The 17314-nt window shown below is 39.4% G+C and overlaps 2 pseudogenes across 1 annotated transcript in view; one reads left to right on the plus strand and one right to left on the minus strand.

The window, feature by feature from the left end:
- The window catches only part of GTF2IP8 (general transcription factor IIi pseudogene 8), a 63889-nt pseudogene that overhangs the window by 37203 nt on the left and 9372 nt on the right, over positions 1-17314 (plus strand). Inside the window, exon 5 of the transcript XR_007066431.1 lies at positions 3801-3807. The product of XR_007066431.1 is annotated as a general transcription factor IIi pseudogene 8, transcript variant X1 (transcript). The remainder of the gene's footprint in view (positions 1-3800; positions 3808-17314) is intronic.
- VN1R74P (vomeronasal 1 receptor 74 pseudogene) lies at positions 487-1403 on the minus strand (annotated as a pseudogene).

The following is a 17314-nucleotide window of genomic DNA, read 5'->3' on the forward strand; positions in this document are numbered from 1 at the left end:
GGTCAGGAGTTCAAGACCAGCCTGACCAACATGGTGAAATCCCGTCTCTACTAAAAATACAAAATTTAGCTGGGCATGGGGGTGCGTGCCTGTAATCCCAGCTGCTCAGGAAGCTGAGGATGAGAATTGCTTGAACCCAAGAGGTGGAGGTTGCAGTAGCTGAGATTTCACCACTGCCCTCCAGCCTCAGCTACAGAGCGAAAAAAAAAAAAAAGAGTATACCTTGAGAGAAACATTTTCTACTACCAAGATAAAATGAAAATAAAAATGTAAGAAACTTGATACAGAAATGTCAACCCATGGTAGACACTGGAATTAAAGAAATTACATGGTCCTTAGAAGCATCAGTTTTGAAAGCATATAAATATAATAAAAGTATGATTCCATGCATTTTATTAAATAAGATAAAAAGAACTCCAGGGCTACTTGAACAATTGAACTATAGGAGAAGACTATTTTTTAGAAATGTTTTCCATCGCCAACTTGTTAAAGCTTTATAGCACTTTGCATATTTTGGAGAATGTCAACTATATTTTTATCAGAGCTGATTTGTTCCAGTAGAACAACAGTGGCATAGACATCGCCCACAAGGTTCTGCATACTCAGGAAGACTGGGTTACACGTCCACAGCAGGGTTGAAGAAGATGAGATGATGAGGTCCACCCAGCACATGACCAGACAGTAGCTCACTAACAGCGGGATGGTCTGAGCAGCCCTTTTCTCTGGGAAGGCTTGTGGAGAGATGCTGATGCTGTGAAGGTGCTGAGATTGCGTCTCATGCCTGGACACAAGGATCACCATGTGTGCAATTGAATGCAGTGTAATTCCTATAATGAAGACATCCCTGGATAATGTCAGAGTAAAAAATACTTTTCTCATGAAGGACTTCATGGGAGAAAGTGAACAGTATTGCTGCCCTTAGGTAGACTGTTCTGGGTCACATTAGAAGAAGCCACAGTAAAGAATACTATGTTATAACTGAAAGACAAATTGATGGACCAAAAAAAAAAAGAAAAAAAAGATGACATGATAATGTTATTTGTGAATTTCTGTTTAAGCCTTGCCAAACAGAAGTTGTTGGGGCTGATGGTGTTGGCCTGGTGTATACTCAGGAGACAGATGTTACAGATACATAGGCCCATCCTCACTCTGTTTATGTAGGACAAGGACTTAAATTTGAACTCATTCCCTAAGTGCAGTGATTCAGGCATATCTGGAGGCCAAGCATCCACCACAGTGAGGAACATCACTACATGAATGAAGGCCGAATTACAGCTGATGAGGTCATGGGGCTTCGATTTCTGATCCTGAAGGAATATGAAGATGTTGAAGAAAAGGAAAAAGGTGTTGGCTAAAAGTCCAATGGTAGCTTGGGAAAAAAGGTTTTTTTTTTTGTTTTTTTTTTTTTTTGAGACAGAGTCTCGCTCTGTTGCCCAGGCTGGAGCACAGTGGCATGATCTCATCTCACTGCAAGCTCTGCCTCCTGGGGTCATGCCATTCTCCTGCCTCAGCCTCCTGAGTAGCTGGGATTACAGGCACCTGCCACCATGCCTGGCTAAGTTTTTGTATTTTTAGTAGAGATGAGGTTTCACCGTGTTAGCCAGGAAGGTCTCGATCTCCTGACCTTGTAATCCGCCCACCTCGGTCTCCCAAAGTGCTGGGATTACAGGCATGAGCCACTGCACCTGGCTGAAAAAAGGTATTTTTAAGCATAACAGAAGCATTGTGCTTAAAGTATGTTCATCTTAATAACAAAGAAATGTATTTCATGTATCTGGGAAAAAACAGATCTCGCATTATCAATGTTTGTTCTTTAGTGCTCCAAATAATTACCACGATCATTTTAATTTTACCTTCTCCTTGGTTATCTCTGATTATCTCAGGTACATTCTGGATAATCTAGCCTCTTCACTCATTTCCACATCAAATAATATAAAACATCAACACAGCCACAGAGTGTACAATTTCTAAACTTTTATTGTACCATCTGGGTTCCAAACTTTTTAATGTGAAAGCTCAGTTTTCTACGTAGCTTCTGCCTAATGAATTGTATGTTCTCAGAACTTGTCAACAAAATATACCTCCCAATAATCCAGCCTTCAAAATGTGCACAACACAATATCACATTTCCTAATGTGTTTCTATGGGTTCCCTACAGGTGATTTGTAGTGTTCTTCAAATATGTTCCTTAGTGGATTTTATTTTTCTGAATTGAACTAAAGCAAAAGTATTTTGGAAGTCAGAAAAATGTTACTTCTTTCAGAGTTACATAGGAGAAGTGCTCTGTCCTCCAGAGGACACGTCTGTGACACAGAGCATGAGATACAGAGAGGAAAACCTAGGCTGCTTATTACTTCCACTCCCATCAGTTTGTCCTGATGCATTTATTGAGAACAGAAGGATATCTCCATTCCAGGCCCTGAGTTTTGTGTCTTGTAGTGAGTCTGTGCCTCTGTCTTGTCATCTTAAAAAATGCTTCACATTTCTTTTCCCACCCCCTTAGGTTTAACAGGAAGGCTAGAGGGAATGGGAGTTGCATATGTTTCTTCTCTCACATGAAGGGCTCAAGTGGTCTGAAGTTGAATATTTCTCTTCTTCCCCACTGAAGACTGCAGCAGTCTGGTGATGGGTATTTCCCTTAACTTAGGTCATATAAACTCTGACAAAACCCCAGTAGGTTAGGCTTTGCTCAAATAGTTTTCTGATGGCAGAGCTTGGTAAGAAGAATAGAATGTTCTAGGTGGCTTTTAGAATGGGTACATTTCCTTTCCCTATGCCAGAAACACGAGATTTTTCTACCTCTAGTCTAAGAATCTGGTAGGGCTTCTGACGATAAAACTCTTCAAAAGTGAGAAGGAGGGACTAAGACTGGCTTCCCTGGAGATTTTAACTCTCACGCTTGTCCACTCTCAGGCTTCAGCAATTCCTCAATTACAGTGTAGGTTTCCTACCATAGTACTAATTGCTACTGAAGATTTTCTTACACGTTTCTCTTCTGGTAAGTGGTGATGATCTTTATTCATATACCTTTCCATACAGTTTGGGGGCAGATGTTTAGCTCATGACCTCATTTTTCCTTTTTTAATTCTTTTTTTTGAGACAGAGTCTGACTCTGTTGCCCAGATTGGGGTGCAGTGGCATGATCACAGCTCACTGCAACCTCTGCCTCCTGGATTCAAGCAATTTTTTTAATTATACTTTAAGTTTTAGGGTACATGTGCACAATGTACAGGTTAGTTACATATGTATACATGTGCCATGCTGGTGTGCTGCACCCATTAACTCGTCATTTAGCATTAGGTGTATCTCCTAAAGCTATCCCTCCTCCCCTCCCCCCACCCCACAACAGTCCCCAGAGTGTGATGTTCCCCTTCCTGTGTCCATGTGTTCTCATTGTTCAATTCCCACCTATGAGTGACAATATGCGGTGTTTGGTTTTTTGTTGTTGCGATAGTTTACTGAGAATGATGATTTCCAATTTCATCCATGTCCCTGCAAAGGACATGAACTCATCATTTTTTATGGCTGCATAGTATTCCATGGTATATATGTGCCACATTTTCTTAATCCAGTCTATCATTGTTGGACATTTATGCTGCTTCCAAGTCTTTGCTATTGTGAATAGTGCCGCAATAAACATATGTGTGTATGTGTCTTTATAGCAGCATGATTTATAGTCCTTTGGGTATATACCCAGTAATGGGATGGCTGGGTCAAATGGTATTTCTAGTTCTAGATCCCTGAGGAATTGCCACACTGACTTCCACAAGGGTTGAACTAGTTTACAGTCCCACCAACAGTGTAAAAGTGTTCCTATTTCTCCACATCCTTTCCAGCACCTGCTGTTTCCTGACTTTTTAATGATTGCCATTCTAACTGGTGTGAGATGGTATCTCATTGTGGTTTTGATTTGCATTTCTCTGATAGCCAGTGATGGTGAGCATTTTTTCATGCGTTTTTTGGCTGCATAAATGTCTTCTTTTGAGAAGTGTCTGTTCATGGCCTTTGCCCACTTTTTGATGGGGTTGTTTGTTTTTTTCTTGTAAATTTGTTTGAGTTCATTGTAGATTCTGGATACATTAGCCCTTTGTCAGATGAGTAGGTTGCAAAAATTTTCTCCCATTCTGTAGGTTGCCTGTTCACTCTGATGGTAGTTTCTTTTGCTTTGCAGAAGCTCTTTAGTTTAATTAGATCCCATTTGTCAATTTTGGCTTTGGTTGCCATTGCTTTTGGTGTTTTAGACATGAAGTCCTTGCCCATGCCTAGGTTTGGGCATGGTAATGCTTGAATGGTATTGCCTAGGTTTTCTTCTAGAGTTTTTATGGTTTTAGGTCTAATGTTTAAGTCTTTAATCCATCTTGAATTAATTTTTGTATAAGGTGTAAGGAAGGGATCCAGTTTCAGCTTTCTACATATGGCTAGCCAGTTTTCCCAGCACCATTTATTAAATAGGGAAGCCTCTCCCCATTGCTTGTTTTTCTCAGGTTTATCAAAGATCAGATAGTTGTAGATATGTGGCATTATTTCTGAGGGCTCTGTTCTGTTCCACTGATCCATGTCTCTGTTTTGGTACCAGTACCATGCTGTTTTGGTTACTGTAGCCTTGTAGTATAGTTTGAAGTCAGGTAGCGTGATGCCTCCAGCTTTGTTCTTTTGGCTTAGGATTGACTTGGTGATGCGGGCTCTTTTTTGGTGCCATATGAACTTTAAAGTAGTTTTTTCCAATTCTGTGAAGAAAGTCATTGGTAGCTTGATGGGGATGGCATTGAATCTATAAATTACCTTGAGCAGTATGGCCATTTTCATGATATTGATTCTTCCTACCTATGAGCATGGAATGTTTTTCCATTTGTTTGTATCCTCTTTTATTTCATTGAGCAGGATTCAAGCAGTTCTGATGCCTCAGCCTCCTTGGTAACTGGGATTGCAGGCACCCGCCACCATGCTCAGCTAATTTTTGTATTTTTAGTAGAGACGGGGTTTCACCATGTTGGCAAGGCTGTTCTCGAATTCCTGACCTCAGGTGATCAGCCCACCGCAGCCTCCCAAAGTGCTGGGATTTGTACAGGCATGAGCCACCACACCTCGCCTTTAATTTTGTTTTTAATTGGCACAATAATTTTACATATAGATGGGGTACAATGTGAGCTTTAGATATGTGTTTATATATGTAATAATCAAATTAGGGGATTTAGCATATCCAACATCTGATTTATTATTTCTTTGTGGTGAGAACATTCAAAACTCTCTTTTCTAGCCATTTGAAATATTCAATACAAAATTGTTCACCATAGTCACCCTACTGTGCACTAGAATATATTCCTCCTGTTAACTGTAACTTATTGCCCATTGACCATTTTCTCCTCATTTTGCACTCTGTTGCACACCCTAGCTTCTAGTAACCACCATTCTACTCTCTACTCCTATGAGATCAACTTTATTAGATTCTATATATTAGTGAGAATGTGCAGTATTTGTTTTTATGCCTGGCTTATTTTACTTAACACGGTGTCCTCCAGGTTCATCCATGTTGCTGCAAAGAACGGAATTTTATCTTTTTATGGCTGAATACTATTTCATTGTGTGTGTGCGTGTGTATATATAATGAAATATGATTGTGTATTTACATTATTGTGTAATATATATCTATATTACATTGTGTAATATATTACATTGTGTACACACACACACACACACACCACATTTGTAAAATCCATTTATTTATTAAAGGACATCAGATGATTCCATGTCTTTGCTATTGTAAATAGTACTGTGTACTAGTACAATAGTACTAGTACTTAGTATGATTGTAAATAGTATTGTAATAGTACTGTGATGAACATAAGCATGCATGTGTCTTTACAGTTGAATGATTTCTGTTTTGGGGGTATATACCAAATAATGAAATAATGGAATTGGTGGGTCAAATGGTAGTTTGGTTTTAAATTCTTCGAGAAGTCTCCAGAGTACTTTCTAAGTGGCTGGAAAAATTTACATTCCATCTAGCAGTGTATAAGCTTTCTCTTCACTACCCACCAGCATCTATTATTCTTTGCCTCTTTAATATGGCTACTGTGACTGATGTGAGATGGTATCCAGTGGTTTTGATTTGCATTTTTCTAATGATAGTGACATTGAGCATTTTAATATGCTTGTTGGATGCGTGTCTGTCTTCTTTTGAGAAGTGTATGTTCATGTTCTTTTTTCATTTTTAGTAAGGTTTGTTTTTTGCTTGGTGAATTACAATTTTTTAAATAGATTCTACATATTAAAGCTTTGATGAAAAACATAGTTTGCAAGTTTTTTTTTTCTCATTCTGTTGGTTGTGTGTTTACTCTGTTGATAGTTTCTCTTGCTGTGCTGAAGCTCTTTAGCTTAATCCAGTATCATTTGTCAACTTCTTGTGTGTCAGTTGCTTTTAGAGTCTTGAAGTCTTTGCCAGGGCCAATGTACAGCATGGTATTTCCTAGGTTTTCTTCTAGGGTTCTTACACTTTTAGGTTTTATATTAAGTCTTTAATCCATCTTGAGTTAATTTTTATATATGGTATAAATGAAGTAGTCCAGCTTCAATCTTCTGCATATGACTAGCCAGTTATCCCAGCACTATTTATTGAATAGGGAGTCTTTTCCTTCCTTTCCTTTTTTTTTTTTTTTTGAGATGGATTCGAGTTATTGCCCAGGCTGGAATGCAGTGCCACGATCTCAGCTCACTGCAACCTCCGTCTTCCAAGTTCAAGTGATTCTCCTGCCTCAGCCTCCAGAGTAGCTGAGATTACAGGCACCCTCCACCACGCCCAGCTAATTTCTGTAATTTTAGTATAGATGGGGTTTTACCATATTGGCCAGGCTGGTCTCAAACTCCTGACCTCAGGTGATCCACCCTTCTTGGCCTCTGAAAGTGGTGGGATTACAGGCATGAGCCACTGTGCCTGAGGGGGAGTCCTTTCCTTATTGTATGTTATTCTTGGCTTTGTGAAAAAATCAGGTGGTTTTAGATGTGTGGCTTTATTTTTATTTATTTATTTATTTACTTATTTATTTATTATTATACTTTAAGTTTTAGGGTACATGTGCACAATGTGCAGGTTAGTTACATATGTATACATGTGCCATGCTGGTGCGCTGCACCCACCAACTCGTCATCTAGCATTAGGTATATCTCCCAATGCTATCCCTCCCCCCTCCCCACACCCCACAACAGACCCCAGAGTGTGATGTTCCCCTTCCTGTGTCCATGTGTTCCCATTGTTCAATTCCCACCTATGAGTGAGAATATGCGGTGTTTGGTTTTTTGTTCTTGCGATAGTTTACTGAGAATGATGATTTCCAATTTCATCCCTGTCCCTACAACGGACATGAACTCATCATTTTTTATGGCTACATAGTATTCCATGGTGTATATGTGCCACATTTTCTCAATCCAGTCTATCACTGTTGGACATTTGGGTTGGTTTCGTCTTTGCTATTGTGAATAAGGCCGCAATAAACATACGTGTGCATGTGTCTTTATAGCAGCATGATTTATAGTCCTTTGGGTATATACCCAGTAATGGGATGACTGGGTCAAACGGTATTTCTAGTTCTAGATCCCTGAGGAATTGCCACACCGACTTCCACAATGGATGAACTAGTTTACAGTCCCACCAACAGTGTAAAAGTGTTCCTATTTCTCCATATCCTCTCCAGCACCTGTTGTTTCCTGACTTTTTAATGATCACCATTCTAACTGGTGTGAGATGGTATCTCATTGTGGTTTTGATTTGCATTTCTCTGATGGCCAGTGATGGGTGAGCATTTTTTCATGTGTTTTTTGGCTGCATAAATGTCTTCTTTTGAGAAGTGTCTGTTCATGTCCTTTGCCCACTTTCTGATGGGGTTGTTTTTTTCTTGTCAATTTGTTTGAGTTCATTGTAGATTCTGGATATTAGCCCTTTGTCAGATGAGTAGGTTGTGAACATCTTCTCCCATTCTGTAGGTTGCCTGTTGACTCTGATGGTAGTTTCCTTTGCCATGCAGAAGCTCTTTAGTTTAATTAGATCCCATTTGTCAATTTTGGCTTTGGTTGCCATTGCTTTTGGTGTTTTAAACATGAAGTCCTTCCCCATGCCTGTGTCCTGAATGGTAATTATTTCTGGGTTCTCTAGCCTGTTCCTTTGGTCTCTGTGTCTATTTTTGTACCTGTATCCATGCTCTTTTAGGTATTGTAGTCTTGTAGTGTAGTTTGAAGTTGGGTAGTATGATGAGTCTAGCTTTGTTCCTTTGCATAGAATAGCTTTGAGTATTCAGGCTCTTTTTTTGTTTCAAATAAGTTTTTTCATTTTTAAAAAATTCTGCAAAAAAATGTTGTTGGTAGTTTAATAGGAATAACATTGAATTCAAAAGTAAATTTCTTTCAGTAGCAGGGCCATTTTAGCAATATTGATTCTTCCTATCCATGAGCGAGGAATGTTTTTCTGTTTGTTTTTGTCATCTCTAATTTTTTTGAACAATGGTTCGTAATTCTCATTGTAGAGAACATTTGCCTTCCTGGTTAGCTGTGTTTCCAGGTATTTTATTCTTTTGGTGGCTATTGTGAATATAATTGTATTTTCAATTGGATGTTATTGGTGTATAGAAATGTTACTGATTTCCATACATTTATTTTGTATGCTGAAACTACTGAAGTTTTTTTTTCCAGATCTAGGAGCCTTTGGGCAGAGACTGTGGGCTTTTCTAAGTATAGAATTATATAATTTGTGAAATGAAATCATTTGACTTCCACTCTTCCTATTTGGATGCCTTTTATTTATTTCCACTGCCTGATTGCTTTGGCTGGGACTTCCAATATTTTATTTAATAGGAATAGTGAGCATGAGTATCCTTGTTTTCTTCTGGTTCTCAAAAGGAATGTTTCAAGCTTTTGCCCTTTCAGTATGATCTTGACTGTGGGTTTGTTATAGATGGCTGTTATTATCTTGAGGTATGTACCTTTGATGCCTAGTTTTTGAGGGTGTTTAACCATGCATCCCAGGAATAAAGCCTACCTGATCATGTTGGATTAGCTTTTCTGATGTGATGCTGGATTCAGTTTGGTAAATATATTTATATTTATATGTAAATATTTATATTTATATGTATTTATATTTATATGTAAATATTTATGTTTATATGTAAATATTTATTTTATATGTAAATATTTATATTTATATTTATATGTAAATATTTATATTTATATTTATATGTAAATATTTATATTTATATTTATATGTAAATATTTATATTTATATTTATATGTAAATATTTATATTTATATTTATATGTAAATATTTATATTTATATTTATATGTAAATATTTATATTTATATTTATATGTAAATATTTATATTTATATTTACAGAAATACATAAATATATTTATATAAATATGTTTATGTAAATATATATTATTTATATAAATAAAAACAATATATATTATATATAATATATAAATTATATATAATATATATTATATATTATATATAAATTATATATAATATATATTATATATAATATATAAATTATATATAATATATATTATATATAATATATAAATTATATATATATAATATATAAATATATATATATATATTTTTTTTTGAGGTAGAGTTTCACTCTTGTTGCCCAGGCTGGAGTGCAGTGGCATGATCTCGGCTCACTGTAACCTTCACCTCCCATGTTCAAGGGATTCTCCTGTCTCAGCCTCCCAAGTCGCTGGGACTACAGCCCTGTACCACCATGCCCAACTAATTTTTTCTATTTTTAGTAGAAACGGAGTTTCACCATGTTAGCTGGGCTGGTCTCGAACTCCTGACCTCAGGTGATCTGCTTGCCTCTGCCTCCCAAAGTGCTGGGTTTATAAGCGTGAGCCACCATGCCCAGCCCAATTTGCTTTTTTTTTTTTTTTTTTTCCCATATCTGCTAGGTTTTGGTTTCAGAATGATGCTGGCCTCATAGAATGAGTTAGGAAGAAGTCTTTCCTCCTCCTTTTTTTGGAATAGTTTCAGTAAAACTGGTACCAGCTCTTCTTTATATGTGTGGTAGAATTTGGCTGTGAATCCATCTGGTCCAGAGTTTTTCTGGTAGGCTTTTTATTATTGATTCAGTTTCAGAAGTCAGTATTGGTCTGTTCAGGATTTTAATTTCTTCCTGATTCAGTCTTGGGGGTTTATATGTTTCCAGGTATTTATCCACTTCTTCTGTGTTTTCTAGTTTGTGTGCATGAAGGTGTTCATAACAGTCTCTAATGGTTTCATGTATTTCTGTGGCATCAGTGATAATATTTCCTTTGTCACTTTTTATCATGTTTAGGTAGATCATCCTTTTTTCTTTAGCTAGCAGTCTAACAATCTTATTTATTCTTTCAGAAATAAGTTTCACTGGATTTTTGTACAGTGTTTTTTTTTTTGATCTCTGTTTCATTCAGTTCAGCTTTGATATTTCTTGTCTTCTAGCTTTGGGGTTGATTTGCTGTTACATTTCTGTTTCCTCCAGATATCACCTGGCACAGTGGCTCATGCCTGTAATCCCAGCACTTTGAGAGGCCGAGGTGGGTGGATCACCTGAGGTCAGGAGTTTGAGACCAGCCTGACCAATATGGTGAAACCCCGTCTCTACTAAAAAGAAAATAATTAGCTGGGCATGGTGGCACACACCTGTAGTCTCAGCTAGGCTGAGACAGGAGAGTTGCTTGAACCCGGGAGATGGAGGTTGCAGTGAGCTGAGATTGCTCCACTGCACTCCAGCCTGTGTGACAGGGCAAGACTCCGTCTCAAAAATAAATAAATAAAATAAAAAGATACAATGTTAGGTTCTCAATTTGATGTCTTTCTAACTTTTTAATGTGGGTATTTAGTGCTACAAACTTTCCCTTTAACACTTTTTTTAAACAGTTTCTCAGTGATATAGGTATGTTGCATCTTTGTTTCTGTTAGTTTCACATAATTTATTGATTCCAGCCTTAATTTTATTCGTTACCCAAAAGTCACCAGCAGCTGCTTATTTAATTTTTTATTAAATTGTATGGTTTTGAGAGATCTACTTGGTATTGATACCTATTTTTATTGCACTGTGGTCCGATAGATAGTGTGGTTGGTATGATTTTGATTCTTTAGAATATGTTGTGAGTTGCCTTATGGCCAAGTGTGTGGTGGTCAGTTGTAGAGTATGTGTCATGTGCAGGTGAGAAGAATGTACATTCTGGTTTTGCTGGCTTGAGTGTTCTGTAGATGACTGTTAGGTCCATTTGGTTAAGTGTCAAGTTTAGGTCCTAAATATATTCTGCCTTGGTGATCTGTCCAGTGCTTTCAGTGGGGTTTTAAAGTCTCCCAGTATTATTGTGTGGTTATCTAAGTCTCTTCATAAGTCTCTAGGAACTTGATTTATGAATCTGGGTGCTCCAATGTTGGGTGCATATAATTAACATTTAGGATAGTTAAGTCTTCTTACTGAATTGAACCCATTATCATGAAATGCCCTTCTTTGTCTTTTTTGATCATTGTTAATTTAAAGTCTGTTTTGTCTGAAAAAAGAATAGTAACTTCTGCTCTTTTTTGTTTTCTGTTTGCTTGGTAGGTCTTTCTCCATCTGTTTTCTTTGAGCCTGTGGATGTCCTTGCATGTGAGATCGGTCTCTTGAAGACAGCATACAGTTGGGTCTTGCTTCTTTATTTAACTTGTCACTCTGCGCCTTTTCAGTGGGGTATTCAGCACATTCTTTTTCGAGGTTAATACTGATATGTGCAGATTTGACCCTGACATTGTGTTGTTAGCTGTTTGTTATGTAAACTTGATTGTGTATTTACATTATAGTATAAATAGCCCATGTACTTCAGTGTGTTTTTTGTGGTGGCCAGTAATAGTCTTTCTTTTCCATGTTTAACATACTCTTAAGAATCTCTTTTAAGGCAGGTTTGGTGGTAATGAATTCCCTTAGCATTTGCTTGTCTGAAAGGATATCTTTTATCTTTTGTTTATGAAGTTTTAGTTTGGTGTGATTAGATTCTTGGTTGGAGTTTGTTTTCTTTGAGAATGCTGAATATAGGCCCCCCAATTGCTTTTGTCTTGTACAGTTTCTGCTGGAAGGTCTGCAGATAGCCTAATGGAGTTCCCTTTATAAGTGACCTGCACCTTGTCTCCAGCTGCCTTTAATATTTTTTCTTTCACACAGACCTTGGAGAATCTGATGACTACATGTCTTGGGTATGGTTATCTTGTGTACTATCTCCCAGGGGTCCCCTGAATTTTCTGAATTTGAATTTCAACCTCTCTAGGAAAGTTAAGAAAATTCTTATGGACAGTATCCTAAAAAATGTTTTCCAAGTTACTCGTTCTGTCTTCCTTTCTCTTAGAGATGCCAATGAGTTGTAGATTTGGCATCTTCACATAATCCCATATTTCTCAAAGGTTTTGTTCATGAAAAACAATCTTTTTCAGTTATTTTTGTCTGACTGAATTAATTCAAAGAACTGGTCTTTGAGCTCTGAGATTCTTCCCTCAGCTTGGTCTCGTCTGGTGTTAATATTTCTGATTGTATTACAAAATTCTTTTTGTGAGTTTTTCAGCTTTATCAGATCAGTTTTGTTCCTTCTTAAGAAGGTTATTTCATCTCTCATCTCTTGAATAGTTTTGCTGAATTTTTTAGATTCCTTGAAATGGGTTTCAACTTTCTCCTGAATCTTGAAGATCTTCATTGGCATCCAGGTTCTGAATTCTCTGTCTGTCATTTCAGCAATTTTATGCTGGTCCTCCACTTGAGTACTAGCCATAGGTCTTGGCTTGGCACTCCCATCCCATAGCCCTGTGCACCATAGCTCTGGGGTGAACTCAGGCTTTTCTTTTTCTCCCCAGCTTGGGAGCAGCAGTGTTGGGGACCTTGGCAATGGCAATGGCAGAAAGCCTTTCTGTTGTCTCTTGGGGTACCACATCAGAGACGTGCAGAGCTCTGCCAATCAGAATGATCAGTCAGAAATGGAGCAGCTGCATTGTGAGCCCAAGCTGGGACCCCTGTCTAGTGAAGAGCAGGGGATTTGGGGCCAACAGGGAAGAGAGACTGGGCTTCCCTCCATATGGTGCCTGTGGCCTGCTGGAGGTGTGAGCAAAGCACTCAGGCACTTTGTTTCTTCCCCAGCCTGAGGGCAGCAAGGGCAGTATCACTGCAGCAGTAATGGCAAAAGGGCTCTCAGTTGCCTCTGGGAACTCCACCCCAGAGAGACGCAGAGCCACTGCCAATGAGAATGTTCAGCCAAGGGTGAGGTGGCTGAACTGTGGGCTTAAACCTGGGCCTCCTTCTGGTGAAGAGCAGGTTGCCAGAAGCTCACAGAGAAGAGAAACTGGGCTTCTCTCCAACTGGTGGCTGTGGCACACTGGAGGTGCTGGCAAAGCAATCAGGGTCTTTATTCTTTCCCCAGGCCAAGGGCAGCAGTGGTGGTACTGCTACAGTGGCAATGGCAGAGAGCCCGTGGGTTACCCCTGAAAGCTCCATCTCAGAGAGATGCAGAGATGCCACTGAATGAAGCAGTCCTTCAGGGTGGGGGTGCAGGATGGCTGTGCTGGGGGCCCAGATCAGGAGACCCTACCCAGTGAGGCATAGCAGGGAGGGGGACCCACGTGGATACAGTTTGCCCACTTTCTGTAAGGCAGCTGTGGTGTGCTAAGAAGCCTATGATAGTTCTTGGGCTCTTCAGTCCCTCCCTAGCCTAGGAGAGGTAGAGGCAGGGACCATGGCAGTTGCAAAAACAGTAGGCCTGATAGTTACCTCTAGGAGGTCAGTCTGCAGAGTTGCAATTAGCCTGAGTGCTCAGGCAGAGGGTAAGTGGCTGCACTGGGACCCAGGCCAGTGGGCACTACCAGGAGAGGTGTAGTGGAGGTGAGGCCGCTACAGGAGGTAGAGCAGAGACAGGAGGTGAGTCTGTCTCCTCCTCAGCACTGTAGATATGGCCCCTATCCTGGGGGCATGTGAGAGAGTCTGGCCTCTTCTGGTGGCAGAACTATAGCAGCTGGCACTATGGTGCTCAGGGGTCCAAGGCCCTTAGGGTTCCATGTGGGCCTGACTGGAGGCTCTGCCCAGACTCCATGCAGTTCTCTGTGTCAGTTGAGGAGCCCTGAGGGGAGGGTGTCGGGGGATTTTCTGTGCCCAGGATTTCAAAAGTCGATGGCAGAAAGGTGAGTCACCAGTGGCTCTTGCTCACTATTTTCCTGCCGTGGGGAACCCCCGCTGGGATCCACACCAATTCTGGGTGGGTGGCTTTTCTGTCTCACTCCTCTTTGTTCTCCGTGGTTCACATTTCTTCCTTGATGAATTCCCCATTTTAAAACAACTTTACATACATTTGTGGAGTGTAAGTGCAATTTTGTTACATGCATAGATTGCATAGTGCTATCAAGGTTCATCTATAGCAGTATCAGAATTTTTTAAAAAAAAACTTACAGAGATGAGGTCTTGCTATTTTGCCCAGGCTGATCTGGAATTCCTGGGCTCAAGTGATCTGCCTGCCTCGGCCTCCCAAAGTGCTGAGATTACAGGGGTAAGTCACTGAGCCTGGCCAGAATTGTTTTTTCTTTATACAGCTGAATAATATTTCATGTATGTGTGTATATCACATTTTGCTTATCTATTTACCTATTGATGGGCAGTAGGGTTGGTTGTACCTTTTCGCCATTGTGAATAATGTTGCTATGAACATGAGTGTACAAATACCTGTTTGAGTCCTTGCTCTCAGTTCTTTTGGGTATATACCCTGAAAGGGAGTTGTTGGATTATGTGATAATTCTATGCTTAATATTTTAAGGAGCTGCCAAACCATTTTCCACAGGGGCTGCACCAGTTACATTCCAAAAAGCAGTGCATAAAGGGTCCAGTTTTTCGATATCCTTGCTGACATTTAATATTTTCTGTTTATGTGTTGAATATTTAAAGTGTTTGAAATTCATTTGAGGGTCTTTGTAATTACCAAAATATTATAAAAAGTTTTTCAAATAGAGCAATATGCTGTAATATAAATCATCTTATTTGTTTCTTGGTGCCCGTGATCTATTTTCACAGTAAGAAGAGAAACTTCTCTCTGCCCATCCTCAGTCCACTGCACCCACCCTTTGCTGTGTCAGGATGTGCAGGGGAGAGAGGGAGCTTGGCAGCTCTGTCCTGCATTGGTCTGTGGTAGTCCATCACTGGGTTGTAAAGCACCTCTCCTCCTCCTCCTTCTTGGGAGAAATTTCACTGATTCTGAGTGCCATCTGCATTTATTTTGGGTGTGATATTAACCCAATGTTATTGAAATAACACTAGATAGGAAGTTAGGGGGTAGATTCTCTATCTGATGAGAGTTTCAGGCAAATCATATACTTAGTTTTTTAGTCTTGTTTTTTCTCTTAGGTAAGAAAACAGTAAATTAGGCAGCCAGTGGGAGATCCTCAGAGCTCTGAATGTGGATTTGGAACACCACATTTCTACCACTGATTTTCTTATTACTTGTCTTGCACAAAGATCATGGCCCAAGTAACAGTGTCCACCCTGGCCGTTGAAGATGAGGAGTCCTCAGCAGGATGGTAGTGACATTCCTCATGTCAGCTCTTGAGTCCATGGTGAGACCTTCTATTCTGACATTCCATAGTTGGGTAGAACTGGGCTGTAGATAAGGTTGATTTGTTTTTGTAGAAGATATAATTTTATGTCTTTTTAGTTTTAAGGAGTAGTTTTTTTTTCTTGAATAGCAGTTATGGCTTTCAAATGACATTTTATTACCATGCTTCAGAATGTTTAATTTTTACTTTGAATCTCAAATAATTTTCTACCATTATTTTAGGCAATCTTTTGTTTTTGTAAGTGTGAATTTTGAAATTATGTATAATATTTGTGGTTACTCAGAATGAGTTTATATACTAGAGTATGGGGCTGGAGTTTTATTGTATCAATATGTAGAAGATTCCCAGAATTTGGGGTCATGAGGGCATCTTTACTATTGTGTATCTATATTTCTTCTGCTTACACATTCACTATTGCATTAACCACCTCTTTCTAAATTGTTTAGTGTTAGCTGTTTATGTTTCTTTTTTTTTTTTTCCGGAATCTCACTCTGTCACCCAAGGAGGAGTGCAGTGGTGCGATCTTAGCTCACTGCAACCTCTGCCTCCCAGGCTCAAGTGATTCTCCTGACAGCCTTTCCAGTAGCTGGGACTGCAGATGTGTGCCACCACACTCAGCTAATTTTTGTATTTTTGCTAAAGATGGGTTTTCACAATGTTGGCAAGGCTTGTCTTAAACTCCCGAGCTCAAGTGATCTGTCTGCCTTGGCCTCCCAAATTGCTGGGATTACAGGTGAGAGCCACCGCACCTGGCCAGCTCTTTACTTAAAAAAAAAAAAGCCTATCATATGCATAATTACAGTGAAATATTGAGTACTGATTATGTAGTTTTGTATTTTTATATTACTATCATGGTAGTTATACAATTAATTTATATTTTTATGGGTATGTAGTTGGAAATAGTATTTATTATAAAAAGTATCAGGTGGCTGGGTACGGTGGCTCACGCCAGTAATCACAACACTTTGGGAGGCCAAGGAGGGTGGATCACGAGGTCAGGAGATTGAGACCATCCTGGCTAACACGGTGAAACCCCGTCTCTACTAAAAATACAAAAAAAATTAGCTGGGTGTGGTGGCGGATGCCTGTAGTCCCAGCTACTCGGGAGGCTGAGGCAGGAGAATGGCATGAACCTGGGAGGTGGAGCTTGCAGTGAGCCAAGATCGTGCCACTGCACTCCAGTCTGGGCGACAGAGTGAGACTCTGTCTCAAAAAAAAAAAGAAAAAGTATCAGACTTAGGTATTTTCTTTTTTTTTTTAACCTTTTTTTTTTTTTTTTTTTTTTTTGAGAAAGGATCTTACTCTCTTGTCCAGACTGGAATGCAGTGGTGTAATCATGGCTCACTGCAGCCTGGACATCCTGGGTTGAAGTGGTCTTCCCACCTCAGCCTCAGAGTAGGTGGGACTGTAGGCATGTGCTACCACATCTGGCTACTTTGTTTTGCTTTTTAGTGGAGATGAGGTCTTAATATATTGCCCAGGCTGGTCTGTAACTCTAGAGCTCAATCAATTCCACCTCTGCCTTTCAAAGTCCTGAGATTACAGGCATAAGCCACTGTTCCTGGCCTAGCTAATTTTTAAGCTTTTTTGTAGAGACAGGGTTTCTTTACGTTGCCCAGGTTTGTCTTAAACTCCTGGGTTCAAGCAATTGTCCTGTCTTGGCTTCCCAAAGTGTTGGAATTACAGGTATGAGCCACCATGCATGGCCTTAGGTGTT

This window comes from Homo sapiens, chromosome 18 (genome assembly GCF_000001405.40).
Source record: "Homo sapiens chromosome 18, GRCh38.p14 Primary Assembly".
In the NCBI taxonomy this organism is placed as follows: Eukaryota; Metazoa; Chordata; class Mammalia; order Primates; family Hominidae; genus Homo; species Homo sapiens.